The 24,403-nt window shown below is 33.8% G+C and overlaps 1 protein-coding gene across 6 annotated transcripts in view; it reads right to left on the bottom strand.

Moving 5' to 3' along the window:
* The window catches only part of SLC12A2 (solute carrier family 12 member 2), a 105,912-nt gene that overhangs the window by 27,082 nt on the left and 54,427 nt on the right, over window positions 1-24,403 (bottom strand). For 4 of the 6 annotated variants that reach the window (NR_046207.2, NM_001046.3, NM_001256461.2 and 1 more), the window contains exons 8-17: window positions 23,872-23,999; window positions 23,688-23,772; window positions 20,615-20,766; window positions 14,867-14,974; window positions 13,719-13,842; window positions 12,498-12,599; window positions 11,200-11,355; window positions 9,791-9,890; window positions 4,432-4,543; window positions 796-936 (exon numbers count right to left, since the gene is read on the bottom strand). Coding sequence is in view for 5 of the 6 variants with exons in the window: in NM_001046.3 (NP_001037.1) it covers window positions 796-936; window positions 4,432-4,543; window positions 9,791-9,890; window positions 11,200-11,355; window positions 12,498-12,599; window positions 13,719-13,842; window positions 14,867-14,974; window positions 20,615-20,766; window positions 23,688-23,772; window positions 23,872-23,999 (1,208 nt within the window). In the remaining variant the exon portion in view is untranslated. Of the gene's footprint in view, window positions 1-795; window positions 937-4,431; window positions 4,544-9,790; window positions 9,891-11,199; window positions 11,356-12,497; window positions 12,600-13,718; window positions 13,843-14,866; window positions 14,975-18,639; window positions 19,471-20,614; window positions 20,767-23,687; window positions 23,773-23,871; window positions 24,000-24,403 lie in introns of those variants that run through there. The other 2 variants (XM_011543588.3, XM_047417592.1) reach the window with 2 other exon arrangements.

Below are 24,403 nucleotides of genomic sequence, written 5' to 3'. Positions count from 1 at the left end.
ATGTTTTCTTTAGAATCTCAAAATTTTAAACTACAAAACTACTGAACTCAACTTTTGGTGCCTCATTCTTCCCTAGCTAAAGGTCATAAAATTGTTTTAGAATTTTTTCTAAAAACAAAACAAATTTGCCTTTTAAATTTAGGTATTTAATCCATCTGGAGATGTGTTTTGTGTGGTTTTTATAAGGATCTAGTATTTTTTTTCATGTTAATAATGATTTATTCTGGCCCATGCTTTCAATAGCACCTTTGTCATATATGTTAAGTTTCTGATACGGGTAGCTCTATTTCCTCTGTTTTGTGCCATTCGTCTAACTGTCTATCGCTATATTCAACACCACAATGTCTTAATTACTACAGTTTTTTGACAGGGCTTTCTTTCCTATAAAGCAAGCCTACCTTGTCCCTTCTTCCTAGATTGCCTTGGCTATTCTTAACCCTGTGCTTATCAAGTTCTAAGAAACACACAACAGAAACGGATCAGAAGACAATACTCTGAGCCTCCCACCTCTACTTTAACAAAGTAGCTCCACAATTACACAATTAACACAGAACAACACAACATTTCTACTGTCCCTTTAATTCTGAATTATACAAATCCAAGTAGTTTACTTTCAGTGTCTCATGCTTTACTGACTGAACTAGCCAGGTGAGCCAAAGTAGTTTACTTTAATAAAGACATAAAAAAAGATTTGCCATTTTTATTAGTATGAAGAATGAAATCTAGAATTAAAAAGTTTTAAAAAGCTTATACAAATCTAAAATGTAGGCATTTGAAAAGCATTAACAAAGTTACCTGCATCAAATACTGTGCACCTTCTCTCAAGTCATCTGCATGTACTGGAGCATAAAATGCCTTCATTTTGTTCTTAATAAGCCATCGCTGATATTTGGCTTGATCGATGGACATCTCTTTCATGGCTTGTCTTCGAGGACCCTTTGAATAAAAATATTAATAATATATTTAATTAAAAGGTAAGCAACTTCACATTTATACAAATGATTCATCCTGTTATACTGGCTTGAAACAGGTGACTAAATGTAGGGTCAGAAGTATAATAATAGCATTTTATTTCCATGTAGTCTTTTTAATACATAAGATTACAAAAAGGTAGAGGTGATGGAATAGCTAAGGCACAGGGATGCCAGTAGAAAGAATAAGAGAAGAAACACAGACTTACAAATAAATTAAAAGTTTCCATTCTAAGTAAAGAGGTTAGAAGCTATCAAAAATGAAGAGATTATACAGAGTAAAATAACCACCTTCTATTTTTCTACAGAAAGTTTCCCTAGTTTTGTTTTTGTTACTCCCAAATGTCTGTGTTATTAATTCTAACTTGAGAATATCACTGAAAATCAAAGTGAGCTATAAAATATTAATGCATTTTTCTTTAAAATTCTGTTAAAGGATGAAATAACAGGAGAAACTAAATGAACTTTGTTAACTCATAACTCTTATTTTGATCCTTGCAAGCAATACACAAAATGTGTTATACACAAATATATAAAACAAAAATCTAAAAATAAGCTTAAGAGTACACACCCTAAATGTAAATAAGTAAAAATATAATTTACCTTTTGTAGTGGGGAAATTGTCTCATTTGTAAATGTCTTATGCTCAAGGCTTGATTTAGCTGATCAGCTCAGAGACAAACTAGAAAACTCCACAAGTCCCAAGTGGGGTCAGTGTCTCCAAGTATCCTTCTACCACCCTACATACACGCACTCTCACACACACACACACACACACACAAACACACACCCCTTGACTTTGCCACTGTATAAGCAGAACAATTAGCTGGGGATGAGACATGAGGTATACAATATACACTTCTAGAATCAAGACAAGATGAAGAACAGAAATTGAGAGAGAAGCTGATCCAACAAATACCCCTATTTCTTATGCAGCACAGGTAAGCCATCATCCAGTCTGTTCTTAATAAACACAATGCCAAAAAACTAAAAACTACTTTCGGATTAAAAAAGGTTCATTATTTTTAATAGTTTTCTTCTGGCTAAAACAAAAAAGAATTGGCAACTAAGTGTTTGAACTTAGAAATTCAGCATTCACTTTGTTCTTCTTACATACCAGAGATATTACTTCCCCCGGAGATATTTATCACAATTTGCCTATTTCTTCCAACCCCCATTTTTTTCTGGTAAGTAAATGTTCCCAAGTGTTCTTGGGACTTTATAAAACATATATATATAAAACTTTAAGTTCTGAGATACATGTGCAGAATATGCAGGTTTGTTACATAGGTATATAGGTGCCATGGTGGTTTGCTGCACCCATCAACCTGTCACCTACATTAGGTATTTCACCTAATGCTATCCCTCCCCGAGCCCCCCCACCTCCCAACAGGCCCTGCTTTGTGATGTTCCCCTCCCTGTGTCCGTGTGTTCTCATTGTTCAACTCCCACTTATGAGTGAGAACATACAGTATTTGGTTTTCTGTTCTTGTGTTAGTTTGCTGAGAATGATGGTTTCTAGCTTCATCCATGTCCCTGCAAAGGACATGAACTCATTCTTTTTTATGGCTGCATAGTATTCCATTGTGTATATGCACCACATTTTCCTTATCCAGTCTATCATTGATGGGCATTTGGGTTGGTTCCAAGTCTTTGCTATTGTCAACAGTGCCACAATAAACATACGTGTGTATGTGTCTTTATAGTAGAATGATTTACAATCCTTTGGGTATATACCCAGTAATGGGATTGCTGGCTCAAATGGTATTTCTAGTTCTAGATCCTTGAGGAATCGCCACGCTGTCTTCCACAATGGTTGAACTAGTTTAAACTCCCACCAACAGTGTAAAAGTGATCCTATTTCTCCACATCCTTGCCAGCATCTGTTGTTCCTGACTTTTTAATGATTGCCCTTCTAACTGGTGTGAGATGGCATCTCATTGTCGTTTTGATTTGCATTTCTCTAATGACCAGTGACGATGAGCTTTTTTTCATATGTTTGTTGACCACATAAGAAAAGTGTCTGTTCATATCCTTTGCCCACTTTTTGACAGGGTGGTTTTTTTCTTGTAAATTTGTTTAAGTTCCTTGTAGATTCTGGATATTTGCCCTTTGTCAGATGGATACATTGCAAAACTTTTCTCCCATTCTGTAGGTTGCCTGTTCACTCTGATGATAGTTTCTCTTGCTGTGCAGAAGTTCTTTAGTTTAGTTAGATCCCATTTATCAATTTTGGCTTTTGCTGCCATTGCTTTTGGTGTTTTAGTCATGAAGTCTGTGCCCATGCCTTTGTCCTGAATGGTACTGCCTATGTTTTCTTACAGGGTTTTTATGTTTTAGGTCTTAAGTTTAAGTCTTTAATCCATCTTAATTTTTGTATAAGGTGTAAAGAAGGGGCCCAGTTTCAGACATATTAGTGAGAAAAATAACAGTGAATTTCTACTCCATAGGTATCAAAAAGCCAAACCACTCTACAAGGACAATACAGTTTGTTAAAATCTACTCATAATGAATAAGAAAAACAATGAGAGCTCAAAATTCAGTAACTGTTTAAAAATGCTACTTCAAGACCATTTAGGGGCAAAAATATTTTGAAAAAAACAACTACCTGAAAAAAAAAAAGTTGGCTTGTCAAATTATTTCCAATCTAGAAAGCCCTATAAATTACAAATTATATACAGCATAAAAGTTTTAGTATAAAAAAATTATTTCACACCTGTCAGAATGGCAATCATTAAAAAGTCAAAAAAAAAAAAAAACACAGATGCTGGTGAGGTTGCAGAGAAAAGAAAACACTTATACACTGCTGGTGGGAATGTAAATTACTTCAGCCACTATGGAAAGCAGTTTGGCCTTCTCAAAGAACTCAAAGCAGAACTATCATTCGACTCAGCAATCCCATTATTGGGTATATATCCAAAGGAACATAAATTGTTCTACCATAAAGACACATGCATGCGTACGTTCATTGAAGCACTATTCACAACATCAAAGACATGGAATCAACCTAAATGCCCATCAATGGTAGACTGGATAAAGAAAATGTGGTACCTGTAATACCATGGAGTATTATGCAGCCATAAAAAAGAATGAGATCACTTCCTTTCCAGAAACATGGCTGCAGCTAGAAGCTATTATCCTAAGTGAACTAACACAGGAACACAAAACAAAATACCACATGTTCACACTTCTAAGTGGGAGCTAAACATTAAGTACATATGGATACAAAGAAGGGAACCACAGACACTGAGGCCTACTTGAGGCTACTGGGTGGGAGGAGGGTGAGGATCAAAAAACTACCTATTGGGTACTATGCTTATTACCTGGGTGACAAAACAATCTGTACACCAAACCCCTGTGACACACAATTTAGCTACATAACAAACCTGCACATGTATTCCTGAACCTAAAATAAAACTTTAAAAAAAAACTTGAAAAAGAAAACAAAATTGATACTTACCATATGTACATGGCCACAGATCATCAAACCAACATTTTTTGTGAAATCATGAACAAGATGAAGTAAAGCTGGACGTGAGTTTGGAGCACCTGTCATAACAAGACACTGTGGCCTAATTTAAGATGAAAAGACAAACAAAATTAGATAAATTTGTGTTTCTGGCAACAAGATTTTAAGTTGTTTCCCTAAGAAGCTTTCTGTATACAACTGTCCTTAAGACACAGGCCACAGGATTCTCAAAAAGACTATTTTTAACCAGGACTTCTTGGTACATGAGAAATGCAGAAACAAAATCTTGGAACAAACATCATGCCAAATGTCCCTCTAAAATAATAGGTACTATTATACATCAAGATTCTGGTAGGTATTACAGAAAGAAATTATCATGCTAGTTAAAAAAATATATAACAATTTTTCATTTTCTGAAGGTAATAAATATTCTGTTAATAATTCTTTCACAGAGTTTGCATAACTTCCTGCGAGCACTGCTTTGTCTTCAAATATGTAACAATTTTTCATTTTCTAAAGGTAATAAATATTCTATTAATAATTCTTTCATAGAGTTTGCAAAACTTCCTGCAAGCACAGGTTTGCCTTCATGTACAAAACAGGTCACTTTCCTTCTTAGCTTGATCACTTCATAATTATTACCACTTCATGATATCAGCCCTCTCTAATCTAGCTTAACATTAATGACTGTCGTCCCATGAGTAAAATCACCTATGTTGAAAAAAAGATTTCTACTTGAACTAGAAATCTGAATTCTAGCTATCAATGATGAAAGCCAAAACAGAATTCAATTGCCTTTGCAAATGTGAGACAGTGGCATGCCTTTCATATATTTGTAGCTCTTGATTTTCACTGACTGGAAATGGAAATCACTGATATTTAATGTAAAAAATATACAGGTCTCCATTTGGTAGGTCCAAACAGACTGGCAAAAATTCCTTCAGAAAAGGATTTATATAATCAAAATGAACTATAACAGAAAGTGAATTGCAGACTACAATTTCCGACTTAAACGTTAACGTTTACAGGAGTCCTTAAAATGAGGATGAAAACCTAAATAACGACTTTTCAAAAAATACCATCTTACTTAGAATTTTAGCAAATGAGCTGGAAAAGCAATTCTGTCTGGGAGAGTTGCTTTGAGGCAATCAAACATGAAATCATGCCCCAGACTTTCGAGCTTTAGCAAGTTACATTAACTCCTTAGCCAGACAGTATATTTCCTAGCCTTCCTAGGAGCTAAATGTGGCCCAATGACTAACTTATAGCCCATAAGTATGTTCCTATTTCCAGGGCGTGTCCTTTAAAAAAGGAAGCTGTGCTGCCTCCATACATTCTTCCCCCTTTCCAGAAAGCTAGACTGTGGATGCAGTGATGACTTTGACCACATGAACAAAAACAGCTAGGGAATGGCAGACTGATAAGGAACGTGGGTTCTGAGTGACCAAAGTACAGCAAATCTGCTTACCTGCTATGAAACATCTGTCTACTTGTGGACTACCATGTGACACCAATGTCTCTCTTGTTTGAGCCACTGTATTTTTCAGTCTTTTTATTATAGTAGTTTAACCCATACCCTAATAGAACCCGTTATTGTGAGAAATTAACTTGTAGCCCCTATCTTTACTAAACAATAAACCACAAAGATATAATTTGGTACAGTCTGATCATACCAAAAATGGTACAGTACAAAGTTTATTAGGGATGACTTTGAGTAACAGCAGCAGAGTGCACATCTACCTTGATGTAATCTCCTTTCTCAAAACTCTCCACGGCATAAAGAGATTTTTTTTAAAGGCACAAACCACAAAAATATCTGGAGCACAACAGCACTGGAATACTGAAAGCTAGAAAGCAACTGGAAGAAAAGTAAAGGATTTGACAAATCAGAAAAAAATGAAATCTGGAAAGCACATGAGGAAGCTATGAAACTACCTGATTTTACATCTAAAAATCACCAAAATGCCTAGGAGTTAGGAACAGTAGGTCCCTCTGGAAGTGGCAGGAACAGTGTGTTAAAGAAAGTAAAAGTTTACACAAGAAGTAACTAGATGGATCTAAATCATTTCCATCACTAAATCATTGCCACTGTCCCTGAACCTCCCCAACCCTACTAAGCTGGGGCTTATTTGCTGGAGAGAGTCCCTGGTCTGGGAGTCACCAGCAACAGCTAGGGGCAGAAGTAAGCTACATTTAATAGAAGAGTTTAAAGAACATGTATATACTGAACCCTGAAACCTTTAAGCTCCTTTCCCCACTTGGCTCCCAGAACTCTCTACCTACAAGCAGAAGATTAAAATAATCTTTTCTGGAAAATCTAATCAGATCAAAAAGAAAGCCTTTAAGATAATCACATTCCTCAAAGAACCAGCAAAGCCACATTAATCTACATTAAGGACTTCAACTGACAAGCTCCACTTACCAATGCCGAACTTCCCTGGCCAAGTATTAGAGATACTTCATTTCAGACCAGGCTAAATCCCAAAACCCAAATTAAAGAAACAGTAAACAGTAAGAAACTACAAGGTGAAGACAACAAAAATCTTTTGGCAAGTTTGGTGAAGGTTAAGACAGTGATGAATACAGTTAAGGAAGAAGAAAAATTATTAGTTTCAGGGAAAACAAAAAAGCTATGTAGCAAAGAAAAAACAGTAATAATTTACTACATGGCTCAGCTGTTACAGCATGTTTAAAAGTCTTAAAAATATAAATACCAAATATGATCTAATCAAAATCATAATATAAAATGTATTGGGAGGATGGGGTATAAAGGTAAGGATGCATGCATGTGGTAGGCATACGTAGATGAAAGACATCAGTTGATAATGTCCAAAATTAAAAATCAAAAAGTACACTAGCCCCCCTTATCTGTGGCTTTGTTTTCCATTGTTTCAGAATATAGAACATTCCATAAATACACAATTCATGTTTTAAATTATGCATCATTCTGAGTAGTGTGGTGAAATTTCTCAACATCCGGCTTCATCTGGCCTGGGACATAAATTCTCCCTTTATCCAGCGTCTCTGTGCTACAGACACTGCCTGCCCAACATCTGTCCTGGTTATCAGATCAACTGTTGCATATCGCAGTGCCTGTGTTCAAGCAACTCTTATTTTACTTCATGATGCCCTCAAAGCACAAGAGTAGTGATGCTGGCAATTTGAATATGCCAAAAAAAAAAACTGTAAAATGCTTCCTTTAAGTGAAAAGGTGAAAGTTCTTAAGGAAAGAAAAAAAATTTTACGCAAAGGTTACTAAAATCTACAGTAAGAAAATGAATCTTCTAACTGTGAAACTGTAAAGAAGGAAAAAGAAACTCATGCTAGTTTTGCTGCTGCACTTCAAACTGTAAAAGTTACAGCCGTAATGTGCAATAAGGGCTTAGTTAAGATGGAAAAGGCACTAACTTCGTGGATAGAAGACATGAACAACAACAAAAAGGTGTTCTGACTCATGACAATCAAATTCAGTACTCTCTGCAGTTCCAGCTATCCACCGAGGGTCCTGGAACACAACCCCTGTGGATAACAGGGGACTACTCTGCAGCAAGACAAGCATGCTATTTATGAAGTAAATAACATGGTTACCTGTAGTTGTGAGAGAAAGAGGGATATGAGGAGCAGGCAACTATTGATTTTCATGACAAACCTTGCAGACTAGCTTTTCCTCTTTACACAATACTCACGTATAATTCTAATAAAAATTAAAAAGCCAAACTGGGATAACTTTTTTTTTTTTTTGAGACAGGGTCTCGCTGTTGCCCAGGCTAGCATGTAGTGGTACAATCATGGCTCACTATAGCCTAGACACTCCTTGGCTCTAGCAGTCCTCCAGCCTCAGTCTCCCGACCACAGGTATGCACCATCATACTTGGCTATTTTGTAAATTTTTGGTAAAGACAAGATCTCACTATGTTGCCTAGCCTGGTCTCAAACTGCTGGTCTCCAACTCCTAGGCTCAAGTGATCCTCCCGCCTCAGCCTCCCAAAGTGATGGGATTGCAGGCATGCACCAACATGCCCAAAAATAAATTTTTTTTAATGTTGGCTTTACTACAATGAGCCAAAGCAAGAGGTTTTTTTTTTTTGTTTTTTTTTTTAATTGACGGCAAATAAACATAGGCTTTTGGTCATACTCTCAGTTCTAGGATACAACTTTTTACATAAAATAATAATTTCTATTTTCTGTCATCCTTGACATCACTATCCAAAATATGCTGAAGTGAAAAGTTTTCCTCCCAGGGCTCTCATTCCTTCTTCTCCATTTCTGTCTACCCTAAAGCTGAAGACCTGCGTGTGGTCTCTCAGACCTTTTTAGTCTAGCAAAAAGGAAGGGGGGAATTCAAAAGAGTAACAAAAAAATAAACAATTACTTTTCTTACTGAGAGAGAGACTGGGTAGAGCAATTCTCTTTTGACATTTATCTACGTTTCAGGGTTTCTTTAAAAACATTATTTTCCCTTTTGGTTTACTAATAAACATGGAAAAGATTTGTGTTTATCATGCAGAAGCCAATAAGGAGGGATTACTCATGACTAAAGAAAGTTTATACCGATGGTTAATAAACTATTAGAAAGATAATATATTCTTTTTTTGTTTTTTGAGATGGAGTCTCGCTCTGTTGCCTAGGCTGGAGTGCAGTGGCATGATCTTGGCTCACTGCAACCTCCGCCTCCTGGGTTCGAGCCATTCTCCTGCCTCAGCCTCCCAAGTAGCTGGGACTACAGGCATGCGCCACTACGCCTGGCTAATTTTTGTATTTTTAGTAGAGACAAGGTTTCACCATGTTGGCCAGGCTGGTCTCAAACTCCTGACCTCAACTGATCCCCCAGCCTTGGCGTCCCAAAGTGCTGGGATTACAGGCGTGAGCCACCGTGCCCAGCCAAAAAAGATAATATATTCTTAAAGTCATTTATTGAGGAAAATAGTAATAAATGCTCTTTAGTATAAGCACTGATTCTTTGTCACTATAAGTTGCTTCCAGTTAATCACTAATTAAGACACAACTAACAATTTTAGTGTGTCAGTAATGTTACAAAATAACGCATGTCAAAAAATCTTTATGAATCTCATACTTACACAGTTACGTAACTTTAATGAACATGGAGAAAATCAAACTTTGACTTTATCATACCCATCATTTAAAAGTCTTCAAGTGAGAAACCTCCAAAACCCTCATAACATTTTTTAAGGTAGATATTAATTTTTCTTTGTACAATTTTGTTCTTGAATAATTAAACTGCCCAAGACCGATTAAAAATGTGAAATGTACATGAAAATGTCAATGAAAAATAAGAACTGACTGGCCAGCAAAGAGAAAATGCTTCCATGTTTCCTTCTTTATCACTTACCTAAAGTTTTTCACGTGGTCTTCCACTCCAGAAAGACGAATTGAATGCTGCAGTGCATTCAGGTAAGTCAGGGCTTGTGTAGAGGATCCCCAATTCACATCTGTGGGAAGATAATGTTCATGCAGCATTAACATCAGTAATAACAACCAATCAATAGCCAATCTGAGGCATAGAGAATTAAACATGCTTTCACATTTAAAAAGTCAATTGCTGAAATACACTATTGTACTTTCAATAGTTCACATATACAGCAAGATATTAAGACTGATAATCTGAACTATAATTCATTTAAAGAAAAAGTATTACTTAGAAAAGATTGAGATGACAGGGCTGCAGACATGCTGTGCATACAACTCTGAAAGAGTCTTTCACAAATAAATATGTTAAAATTATTGTTTGTATATAGCCAAAGGTCTAAATGGAAATGAGCAAATTTCTAATTGTTAAGAAATACTTATTTATAGTACTTAACTGTTTGGGTTATTTGAACAGGACAATTTTATTTCTTATTGAATAAACAACTTGGACTTCAAATGATTTTAGACATTTGTTAATTTATAGACTTGATAGGTATGTTAGAGAAATAACTGATTCTAAAATGTTTTATTTCATTTCTGGAGCTACCACTTTAATCTAAAAGCTCATTATTTCATATCTGGATTACAAAATGTGTTCTTACTGTTTAAAACTACTATATTGAAACTACTCTTGTAATCTCTTCCCAGTCTATTCTATTGAGCCCAGATGAAGCCTTTCTCATCAGGTCTTTCATGTGTCACGGGTTATAATGCTCAATACCGGGACCAATCCTAACATACTCCAGCATCATCATCTTACCTGGAGATACGTTTAGCTGTTATCAATACGACATACTAGGAAATCATTAATCATTACTCAGTTAAAACAAGTTTGTCCAATTTCCCCTGCTACACAGTAACCTAGTGGGAAAGATACTATGTCTTCTAGTATTTTGTTAACTCCATGGTACTCACTCCAGTTCAAGGACCACAGTAGGTTATATGTATAAATAGCCTAGCTTATTAGGCTATACAGCTACTACAGTACTGTAACTGGATCCTTTCAAAAAATAATTTAAAAATATACCGAGTGCAGCAAAATGTTAATTACATGAATTTATTCTTTTTCTACAAATAGGATCAATTTAATTTATGAGTGAGAATGGAAACCAGAATAAAAAATCTCAAAGTAACTGTTTTATTAAAACTACATGTATTTGAAAAAAAAAAAACTTTAGGAGTTTGGAAATAAAGTATTTTAGGTTTTATACAAAGTAGCTTTCAAATATACAAAAGATGATGCTTAAAATGAAAAATAACAAAGAACTTCTAGATGTTTTCTAGCTTCTAGATGTTTTCTAGCTTGGGATATAAACAAAAAAGGCTACTGACCTGGTTTTTTGTAGGTAACATAAATATACAGCCCAAGGACTATCACATATGTTAGCAATGCAGCCCACCAGTTAATGACGAACATTACTATGCAACAAAGAATTGCTCCAAGAAGTGATATCCACATGTTGTAGTATTTGAATGCAGGACGCCATCCTAACAATAACAAATAAATAAAAGTCACACAAATACCTCATCTGCTTTACACAATGGTACATATGTATTCAAAAAATAACATTCTTTATGGTTGCCACACTGAGAGGACTTTAAGCATTAAGTATAAGTCTAATATTGAATAGTAAAGTCAAAGACTATTATTGATCACAATTGAATTTGACAATTCTTGATGGCTATGAAAAGGTAACATCTATTTCCACATTACTGTATTTGACTAGTTCTGTATTCAATAAACTCTTCATAAAAAAAAAATCAACCTACCTTAGGTGAATGTTAAAAAGTATAGAAGGTTTTAAAGAGAAAGGTTTCAAATTGAATCCTTAGTAGTAACTAGGCTTTATTTTCTGGTTCTAGGATGACCCATATCCATAGTCTAATGAATATATAAAACATTTCAAACAAAATGTTCATAAAAATCATTAAAAACATAATCAACTTGCTAGAAAAACTAAGAGCTGACTACAGAAACACATATCTTCCCATTTAGTGAAGTATTTATGAAGGAAGCCCACTTTAAAAAATGTTGAAGACCATGTTTTTCAATTTTCATTGGTAGGTAGTTCCAAAGCCAAAATTATTTTAAAAAAATAATTTCAATAGAATTTATACATTTAAAGTAAAAACCTGATGTTAGAATGTTTGTGTCCAAAGTTCTCATACTTTATATGTTCCCTGTTCTCAGACTTTCAAATCTTTAAAAGGAACAATGCTTTTGTTCCTTTTTTAAAATTAAAATTTTAAAATTCCTTTTCAGAATTTTACAGAACTCATCGTGTTAAAACCATTTTCTTACAGGTAAACTATATCATAATGATGTTCTTAGAACTAAAATAGAAATCAGCTAAAGACTGAAAAACTAGTTTTTTTAAAAAGTAACAATTTTTCAGTGTTATCAGAATTAGAGATTAATCCTATCAAATGCTTTGAAGATAAGAAACAATATTATCAGTAAACTTACTGATAAAGAGATCTTTGAAAGCTTAATTTGAATTAACTGTAAAGACAGACTTGGCATTAATGAACTAACCCCACACATAACATCTTTGAAAATGTGGCAAAAGTTTTATTTTCTTTGCAATCAAAAATGATATTTACAAACTTTTTTAAAAATGTAAAATTACCTGGAGATTTTGCAAGTGATGCATGGAATACTGAAAAATTGATCAATGCATATGATGCAAGGAAGAAGTTTGAGATAATTGGTGCAATAACATTCAGTTCAGCTGCAGAACAAACACATGCGAGATTTACTGACGTATTAGACATTTAACTTTTTAAAATTATGAAGTATTTCAAATCTTTAGATAACAACGTAACACCCCATAACCACCATCCAGCTTTCATAAACATTTAGAGTTTGCCATATATGCCTCATATACTTTACTTTTCAGAAATCCAGTCCTGTGCAAACCATTGAATCCCCTTTATACTTTATCTCACACATCTCCAAACTTGGTATATTCTGTCCAGTCATATTATATAGTTTTATGACATGTATCGTCTATATGCATCATAATAGTACTGTTTTGGGTGTTTTAAAAGTTACATAAATAGCATACCATATGTATCATTCTGAAATTTGATCTTTTACATTTATTTTTGAAATTCATCCATATTGATAAATGAAAACCAAGTTTATTCCTTTTTTTAACTGCTGCATATTATTCTTCTATTGATCTAGGTGGCTTTCGTTTTTCACTATAATGAATAATACTAGAAACATTATTGTATATGGCTCTTTAAGTATATATACAAGTTTCTATAGGGTACATACCTAGAAGGAAAACTCTTGATCACAGAAAAGTTTACGAGATATTGCCCACTTGTTCTCCACAAGTGGCTACACCAAATACACATCTAACAGCATCACATGAGAATTAGTTTCCACATAGTCCCACAACACTTGTGGTACATCAGCCTTTTAATGTCAACTAGTCTCAGGGGTTAGACAAAATTCTTTAAACCTTAAAAAGTCCAATGTCATCTTTAGTAGTGGAAGACCCAACAGAGCTCACTTATGATCAGAGGCAGAGTGCCAAAAAAATAGATCATCAAAGGCACTGATGTCACAGGGGACACTAGAATCCTTTCCCTTATGCCATTATCATATTTGTTTTAGGAAAAAGAGCCTAGGAATTCTCTTTAGCTCTAATGAGGACTTAGTAATGGCAATAATTTCAGCAAATATGTACTCATGCTATTACTTACAGTACTTTATAAACTTTCTTTGATTACAAAGAAACTTAGTATACCAAGATAACATTGTTAATAATTTAATAATTCAACGTCTAGAACTAATATGCACCAAAAATCTACAATAACACACCATTTATATAACTAACCAATTAAGATGAATCCAAGTGCAATTAAGAATGTTAAGATGTAGCCACGAAGAGGTTCATTATTTTTCCCATAACCTTTAGCAAACATCTGGAAAGCTGGGTAGATGTTGTCCTTACATAGAGCCTAATGAAAGAAAACATTAAAATGAAACATATTAAAATTAGACATGCAGATTTGCTGATAGTTCTAATAGGTTAATCAGGAATGAGATTCAAGTTTCTAATTCTTGGTCATCTCTTTTATCCTGTCCCAGATACTGCTTCACCTACAAAATGTAAAGGAAATTCAAGCATTTCAAACATCAGAAGGATACTGGTCAAAACTTCTATCTGCCTTACCCTATCCCCATGTTGAAATTAAATTTTATGAAGAAGAAATCACAGAAGCAGGCATACAAGTAAAAACAAAGTTGGAAGCTTGATAAATATGACATAGTTGTGACCTATTTTAAGAAAAACAAGCTGAAATCTTAAAGCAGATAAAAATCTTGATTATAACACTTAACTACCTTTCTTAAAACATTACTAAAGTCTGTCTTAAATGATATTTTCTACCTTTACTGTACTCACTGGCTATAAATACAGCATTAAGAACAAGACTGCAGAATCAACATTCATTTATTTGATTTACCAATAAAAAGTACTTCCCATCAGTATTCAGCTGTTTAATGTTCACTAAAAGGAGATAATGTCTATCCTATACATCATCATACCCTTAAGTAATGAACACAATGTGTATATCACGTTAGGTGTTTAAATATTTGTAAAATAAAATATTTAGGTTGATATCATACTGACTAGAACAAAGATATTTTACTACTTCCTATTTTCAGTCTTAGACTGCACTCCTATACCTTAAACATCTTGAAAATGTATGCTAAAAATGTCAAAAAAGCAAAAATCCATCAGCACTTCTAAAAAGACTCAAAGAATATACCTTAACAGCAAATGCACAAATATTTATATAAACATTCACATTCATTCACACATATAAAATTAACTATGTATATCTTTATGTGCATATATATATCATATATATGTATATATGGTTGATAGAAGCAAATAATTTGAAAATAGCAACAATTCTAAATTGAGAAGTATTACTTTAACTCTCCCTTTAATAAAGCCTGTAATATAAAAACACTTACCTGAAATATTTTGGGAGCACTCACTAGGGATGCTAATGCTGAAGAAAGAGTGGCTGAAAATATACCTGCAGAAATTAGTGGTGTAAATCCTGACACCATACTCATTACCTTAAATAAAAGTGACAAAAATGGAAAAATAAATCTCACAAACAATTCAGAAAATAACACAATATTATGTGGTCACATCTTGAAGGAGGTTAACACTAGGGATCATTTTATAATAATAATAACAACAACGCTATGTGCATTACAAATATCTGAAACAAATTTATTTACCACTAGCCCTTACCTTAAGAAAACCTTTTCATTCGTAAAATGTTAAACACACACAATGGCAGAGAGAAGAGTGTAATGAACTGCTAACATCCATCACCTAATTTCAACAATGATCAACTTAGGGCTATTCCCCACAATATTTTGAAACAAGTCCCAGATATCCTTTAGCACATAAATATGTCAGTACGTATCTCTAACAGGTAAGGACTTTTGAAAACTTAACTACAATGCCACTGTCGCAGCTTAGAAACTTAATAATTGCTTAACAGTACCACAAAAAAGGCAAGTCAGCATTCAAATTCCCTAAATTGTCCTTTCTTATCTTTTAAAAATAGTCTGTTCAAATCAGGATCCAAAAAAAAAAAAAAAAAGGTTACACATTATATTTGGTTTATGCGTCTCTTCAGTCTTTTTCAATCAACAGGTTCACATTTCCTTTTCCTTTTATTATTTTTCTATCATTTCTCCCATGGAGATCTCATACTCTGGATTTTTCTGACTTCATCATCATTGTATTGCTTAACCTCTTCTCATTTCTATAATTCTAGTAAACTGGTTCTATCTAGACAGTTAATCAAAATGAGGTACAAGTTTTGGCAAGAATACTGTGTAAGTGCCATCATGTACTTCTATTAGGAAGGCTGTTTCTTATGTTAAGATAGTATTGTGGTTATTTTTTTCTAACCTTTTATCTTCTAGAGCTAAATGTGGAAATATTTCCAGCGAAAAGATATGATATAAAGTCTAGGGTTTTGCTCTAAATAATCTGGGATAGGAAGAGTTACACATGAAACAAAATTAACCATGCATTGATAACTGATAAAGCTGGGTAATGTAGATACTAGGTATATTATATTGCTTTCTCTGTGTACATGTTCAAACATTTCCTCTTAGAAGACTTAAAAAAAAAAAAAACACCAACAACATAGGATTGATCACTAAGATCATGAATTCAGGTGAATTCAAACTGAGAGGCATAATTCAAAAACAACCTGGTTCAAATGTTGAAAATGTCAATGTCATGAAGATTAATGTGGGCTAGAAACTCCCCTAGATTAAATGATTTTAAAATGACACTATAACTAAATGCCATGTGTGACCCTAGATCAATCCTGGACTTAGAAAAAATAGCTATAAAAGACATTACTGGGACAAGTGGAGAAATATGAACATAGGATGTATATTTAAATAACAGTATTTCATCAGTGTTTAATTTCTTAAGTAGGATAACCATATTGTGCTTACACAAAATGCATTAAATACTTCAAAATGATCGTCGTGTCATGATGTCTATAACTTATTTGAGGAGAAAAAGACTATATATATACACACACAAAGCAAATAGGGTAAAATATAAACTAGTAAATATAACTGAAGGATAAGTACACAGGTATTCACTGTGTACTTCTGAATCTGTGAAACTTGTCAAAACACAAAATTAAAGTGGAGGAGTTGTTTAGTGGATTCAACTATTGTCAACTTGAACAGCTGTGAATGGTATTATAAATCTCCCAGCAGTGAATGGTGATCATCACCTAGATTCTCTGCTTCATTGGTGGAGATTTTATCTTTCATTTATATTGACTAAGAACATGTCAACTGAGACCAAAGAGATAAGGAAATCAGGTTTTAAGCTGTTTCTATCACACACTTTACTGTAAAATTTAATTGTTTAAACAAAATGGAAAGTTAGCAACGGGTACAATCCCTGTCCACAATGCATAAGTCTGATTTCATGTACACATAAACCACCCTGTTGACTAAACATCTTTCCCTAGATCTTCCATTAGATTTAAGGTTAAATATGAAGAATACATCTCTGAAGTGTTTTAAAGACAGTAGCAGACTTCTAAGAGTGGGGAGAAAATCTGAAAAGATTATTTTCTACTCAGCCCTTTAATAACAATTTAGTAGTTACATATATGCTGTGCATTTTTCATAATCACTATTTTTCATGGTAATTAATGCTGGATTATTTAGAACTGACAACCTTATCTTTAGGGAAGGAGATTGTAAAGGACAGATGAGTCAAGATTAAAATGAATAAACCCAATTTCTGCTATACAGCCTCATTAGATCATACAAAATTCTACATCTGTCTTAATGATCTCAAAGTTAAATTAAGTACAAAGAAAGAGATAAGTGGACGAAAGTAGAGAACAGAGTATATGATACATTCTGCATTGTAGGAGTAAGGCAAAACTGACACCACCAGCATTACTATAACCTTTCCTCTTCCATGTTGAGGAAACAATACATTTTCCCTTCTTCCATCAGTTATAAATTGAAGTAAATAATGATCCAGGCTTTTCATCTGGAAATACTATGTTTTGGGGCCTGCTATAATAGGTTTTCTGTTTTCTATTAAATAGTTGAACAGTTATCCAGTAACCTCTGCACTTCTCAACATTTAATGGTAAAATATCAGCAGCAAGGATAATGATATTCAATGTAAATAATGATATTAGTGTCAACAATATACAGTGGAAACAAAGATGAAAAAAAGACTGTCTTGTCTCTAAAGGGGAAAAAAAGACAAAAGTCTAATAAAAGCTAAAAGATAGCAAGTAAATAAAATGAATGGTAAAAGTCTGTGTGGGGGTGTGTGTTGAAGATGATTTGGGATTCAAGAAAATCTTCACAGAACTAAGTGGCCTTGAAGTCAGGCACATTTGGACATGGGAAAATAAACCACAGGTGCATTCCAAGCAGAGTGAAGCAATGACTAAAGCAAAAGAGTAGGGTATGCATGTGTGTGTGTACAAACACACTCAGTGCCTGGAGTCCACTCGGAACAGAAGGCAGTGAGGCTTAAGAAGAGGTATGAAGGGCTCTGACTGATTTAGACTAAAGATTGCATTTTGTTTATTAGGCAACAGTGAGTCAAAGGTTTTAGAGGACATTAAAATGTAGAAATATAGCAAGCAATATAAGACTATATACACAATTTAAAATTTAAGAGCAAGAAGATAACCTAAATAACTTTATTCCCTGAAGTCTGAAAAGATGATTATAAAGTATGGCTTGTATAGATCTTATGATGGAGACTCCAACTTACATACTCCTCATTTATGTCCTATCCACCATTCTTCACTCTCCAAATGCCAAGGTATTTATATTTTCACAAGATTTTCCCTCATGTTGTATCGCTTTACAAAGTATTTTTGAAAAGTTTACTTCCTTTAAATAAGAAAAGCAGCTTTACTTATACCAAATTCCTCTTTGCTCGAATGAGTCCATAACTAAACTTGATAAAGACAACAAACTTTTCTATCTTAAGGCCACACAGAAATCTGACTGGCATTTTCAGTCACTGGGCAAAGACCAATGTTTGTGCCTTCCATACACAGTATCAATGTCAGAATTGGCCTGAATCATTAGCTGGACATGAATACTTTCTTTCATTCCTACAATTTTGCCTAGTCTTATGACTAGAAAACACAAACTTCTATTACATAATTGGGTTCAATATTTGTAACCACTGAAAGTACAGTCAGTTGCTTAAAACTACATAATTTTATTATATTTATAATAAATAATTTTATTATAAATAATTTTATTTATAATAAAAACAATGCCTTTACAAATTTTAGTTAAAAATTGTATTGTAAAACTTACAGATTGTACATAAAACACATAATTTTAAATACATTAAAATACAAATTATTCTGTTTATACAATACTGAAAAAAATTACAAAGCAAAATTTTTATTTTTCTTTTGAAATCAGCAGAACCATGTACTCTATAAATTTACAATAGAATATTTTGATTTAATCTCCTGAATCTACACCTTTGTGTTCTTTCTACCATCCTAGGACTTAACAAACAACTCAAAATTATCCTCCAAATTAATTTTAGTAATTTATTTTCCCCTTATATAATCTTTTTTCAGTTTCTAAAAACTCATAAATCTGGCAGACTAAAACTTCATTTCATTTTCAGTACCTTAATAGAGGTAACAATAAACAGCAGAAACTGACAGCCTCCAAATACTGGAGAAGTACTACTAACCTGTCTAGTTTGTATGTTTTAGAAATTCACTAGCTTTCTAGTATCCATTCAGAATTAAATTCTGTTGTTAAATGTTAAATGGTGATTTCATGCTGCATGACTTTATATGAGCCATATCTAATAAAGTAACACTACTATTGATACTGATCAATGCTTTTTTAAAGGCCATTTATAAATAAAGCAATTATGAAGACAACACTAATTAGAAAACTGAACTTAATTGGTATGGGTTTAAATTGAGCAAAATAAAAATACTTACTCGTAAATCTAACAAAATACATACAGGACGTATATGCTGAAAACTACAAAATGCTGACTGAAAGAAAATCAAAGAAAATACAAATAAATGGAGAGATGATATTTATGAATTGAACACTCAACAAAGTCAATTCTCTCCAAACTGATATACCAGTTTAACGTAATTCCTATCAAAATCCCAAGACTTTTTAAAAATAAACGTAAGGTGCTTGGGTGATAGGGGCACCAAAATCTCAGACTCCACCACAACACAATTCATCCATGTAACCAGAAACCACATGTACCCCAAAAACTACTGAAGTGAAAATATATTAAAAAGTAAATTAATTAATTAAAACACACACACACATAAGGTTATTTTAAATTTTTATATGGAAAGACCAAGGAACTAAAATAGCTAGAACAATTTTTTTAGAAAGGCTAAAATGGGAGGAATTAATCTACCTGACCTCAAAACTTATCATTTAACTACAGTAATTAGGAATGTGTGGTACTGGCACAAGGACAGACACGAAGATCAACAGAACAGAATCAAGAATCCAAAAACAGACCCATACAAATATGACCATGTGCAAGATGATTCCATGCTTTCTAAAACAGTACACTTACATATTACATATATAAAAACACACACACTAATATATATATATATATTACATGCTGTTATAAAAGCATTACCTCCTAGGGGCTCTTTGCTCTTGAACATCCTCAGATTTTATCCATTCATATTTTAGTTTGTCCAATTAGATATTTACAGTTTTAGGGGATATACAGAACAACTGGCCAGACGCAGTGGCTCACACCTGCCATCCCAGCACTTTGGGAGGCCCATGCAGGTGGATCACTTGACGTCAGGAGTTCGAGACCAGCCTAACCAACATGGTAAAACCCCATCCTTACTAAAAATACAAAAATTAGCCGGGTGTGGTGGCTGGCGCCTATAGTCCCAGCTACGCGGGAGATTGGGGCAAGAGAATCATTTGAACCTAGGAGGCGGAGCTTGCAGCAAGCCAAGATAGCACCACCGCACTACAGCCTGGGCGACAGAGTGAGACTCTATCTCAAGAAAAAATTAAAAATTAAAAAAAATAACAACTGTCCTCCCTTCTATGTTACAGCTATATTCTGAATGGTCATATTTGATAGTAGTCTCACCCCTAGATAAATACAGAATGTCTGTATATTACAAAGTCAATGCTCACCTGGAAGTTGTTCATTAGGCCATAGGAACAAGGACTGCTTTCACAAGATGAAAAATCAAAGTTTAATTTGCAGGCTGCAGAAGTACAGTTTGTTAGCTCTGTTACGATAGTGTCATTAACGTTTCCAGTGGCATCTCGAACAACACAAGAACCTAAAGCACAAGTGACAACAAGAATAATATAGTTAATATCTACATTCATTTCAGAATTTTATATACATATATATATTTATAAAGAAACCAAAGTAGTGACTACATATCTACTCCCTTATAATAGCATACATTGCATTTACAATTAAGACTTTACCTTGAACAGAATTTGTAAAGCATCATGGTCCCCAATATGTGATGAAACTGAACCTTTTATAAAGAATAGTATTTACACATAAACACTTAAAAACCATGTAAAGAGTTGTGGAAAATGGTATACTAGCAAACTATTTCCTAGCCTATTTGGTTAAGATGTCCTTAAGTAAATATGAAAACACTGTACTGAAAGAGTTCCAAATGGCAGTGATGTTTTCCTATACTCCAAATATTTTATACTTGAATGTGGCTAAAAATCAGACTTCAGGTAATACCACTCTTCTGTGAGGGAAAATAATTTGAATGTTAATGAATTATAATTATATTTAAATCTCTGTCTCAAATATGATTATCCTAAAAAGAAGAAAACACATGGTATCTAAGATTTGCTTAAAAAGAACCCATAGAGCAGAGTGACTTGGGTATAGATGAAACAAGATTAACCATGTACTAATATTTTTGCTAACTTTTTTGAAGCTGGGTAATAATTATTGAGCTAATTTGAAAATCCTCCCTACTTTTCCATAAAATTGAAAACTTCCATAATAAAATATTTTAAAAGTGACCTTGAAACAAGCAATTTATTATTCAGAGTAACGTGTAATGCACAACTAATGGTAATTACCATTCCTTATACTTTAAAGATTTTTACTTTCTGAAGCACTTTTTCAGTATTATTTCATCATATATTGAGGTAAAAATTACATGCATGACAGCAAAAATTGAATAAACAGAACTAAGTATGAGAAGGGAGGATATTTTAATGACTAGGCAGACTATACAGTTCTTTGTTTTTCAATTTTTTCATCTACCATTCAGAGCAGTCCTTGCAAAACCATGTTTCCATAAAGGTACCTCTGAAACAACTGGGGAATGGGGGGAGAATAGAGCCTTGCAAATCCCCCCAGCCCTAAAGTAACTATACTTTCATGTGCTTTGTATTCTGATAGTCTATGCCTGAAATTTTTTGGGGGGGGAAGGTTCCACTTCTTTGAGCTTAACAACCACTGGTGTAGAGGCTGCCTTTACTGGCCTAGCTACTGAACATCAGCATCAAGGGGTTACCCCTATTGCTCCAAGGGCTAATGCAGACAGAATGAAATGAGCATGAGGGCCAGCAATGTTAGACGGTAAAATAAAAATAGAAAATATTTGCTGTAACAAACTATTTTACAAGTTAAAACATAATCAATTATGTCACTTTATGCCTAAATTTTCTTTAGCAATAATGTATAGAAGCATGCTAGGAACTTTTAGGGGAACCCATATATTTTGCTAGGCATATATATTCATCCGTGTTTTCAAAATAAATTTCAGAGATTTGTGTGTGAATTCTAAGGATAAATGAAATCCAAATTCCTCTGTAAATGCCAATTCAGGCTGGGCGCGGTGGCTCACACCTGTAATCCCAGCACTTGGGGAGGTTAAGGCAGGTGGATCACCTGAGGTCAGGAGTTTGAGACCAGCCTGGCCAACATGGCAAAACCCCATCTCTACTAAAAATACAAAAATTAGCCAGGTGTAGTGGTGGGTGCCTGTAATCCCAGCTACTCAGGAGGGTGAGGCACGAGAATTGCTTGAATCTGGGAGGCGGAGGTTGCAGTGAGCCAAGATCGAGCCACTGCACTCCAGCCTGGGAAACAGAGTGAGACTCCGTCTCAAAAAACAAAAAACAAAAACAAAAACAAACAAGCAAAAAAGGCAATTCAGCTCACCATGATATTATTAGTATTTCTGTCATGTAGTGAAATTTCAAAATTACATTTAAGCAAATAGTAGAGTTTATAAATATAATTCTGCTATTACTTCCCAGCAAATCAGTGAATATATAGCAAAAATGAAATTTTCTTACCAAATCCAATAGAAACCTCATATTGTGTAGCCTATGGGCTTGGAGTTTATGATTCTTTACATTAGTATTAAACTAAGATTTACTTTTGCATTATGCTTAAGAAATTTAACTGTAAAGCTTGACAAATGCAAACCATATGTAAACTAATAGTAATTCATAGAAAATAGCCTTAAAGACTTTATTTAAAACAAACAACAAAAAAACCTTCTTTGCCATGAAAACAATTCTCTAAAACAAATGCCACTATCTTTGGTAGTGAAATCTCGGAACTTCTATCCTCTCATCTGTAAGAAAAGGATTAGAGACTGGTTGACCACTTAAGTCCTTTCAAGTTGATCCCATGAAGTAACCATGAAGTTGATCCATGATCCCATGAAGTAATAACATGGTTTTGAAATCACTTTCATTCAATTTACTAAGAATTTAGTAAAACTTTTCCTAAGTAAAACTTAGTATGTCCTAATCTTCAAAACCAGTGTTTTTATAGTAAAAAATTGCCAAGCATTGCTTAATAGCCTTGAAAGAATCTTCATATACTGTAAAAAAAAAAAATAAATAACCATCTTAAAAAAATACAGAAATTTGTAAGAGTGAAATTCATTTGCTTCTACACATACATTGTTTTCAGTATCTCAGTGGAATGAGTTTATAGATGCAATTTCATATAATTTTTTAATTTACCATAATTAATAAAAATCCTGGAGATACCATAAAGCATTTGGCGGTTTAGATAATGTCTATAGAAGTCATTACTAGTTTTCTAAAAACTGTTTTTGAATTATAATGAGCAACTCCATGTCTTTTTATTGAAATATTTCTGTATTTAAAAAAGTTAGCAAATGTCATAAAAATAAGTATTTATAGTACGTACATCATGAAATTTCTGCGACACATAAAGAAATGTGAAACTATTTACCTACAGATACTGCAATTCCTACGTAAACCAATGTAGTAATTAAAATGGCTAGGAGTGTTCCTTTGGGTATGGCTGACTGAGGATCCTAGAAGACAAGAAGATTTTTTAAAGTCTATCTGTAAAAATAAATATACAAATTCCACTTTTAAAATATATAATTGATATAGCACTTTATAATACTTACTGCAAGATCACCTGAGATATTTGCTCCAGCCAGAATACCAGTTGCAGCAGGAAAAAAGATGGCAAATACAGAAAAGAAAGTCTCTTCCTCTCGAAAATCGGGCCCAAAGTTCTCATTAAATATTTCAGCTGCAGAGAACAAAATATTCTTGACAATTAATGGAGAGCAAATTAGACTATAATAACTGAGGTCAAGAATAATAGGTATACATGACCCCTAACTTTTCTTCAGTTAAAGTAACGAGTAAATTTTTGCATATTTCCCAGTTCAAGTATTTGGTGTTCTTTTCTTGTATGAGACAATGGTTTACCATCAAAATGATCATCTGATCTGATTCATGTCTCATTTTTTGTATACCTCGCTAATTATGTTTCAAGAGCCTCTGAATGAATTGTTATGACTAGCCCAAATGCAAATCAAAATGTGGATAATCCCCTCAATCTCTGAGGTAAAAGAAGCAAGAAGGGAGGTAGAAAAACAAAAGGGGGCATGGCGTGGTGCCTCACGCCTGTAATTTCAGCACGTTGGGAGA

This window comes from Homo sapiens, chromosome 5 (genome assembly GCF_000001405.40).
Source record: "Homo sapiens chromosome 5, GRCh38.p14 Primary Assembly".
NCBI lineage: Eukaryota > Metazoa > Chordata > Mammalia > Primates > Hominidae > Homo > Homo sapiens.
This window is presented reverse-complemented; position numbering and strand designations above follow the sequence as displayed.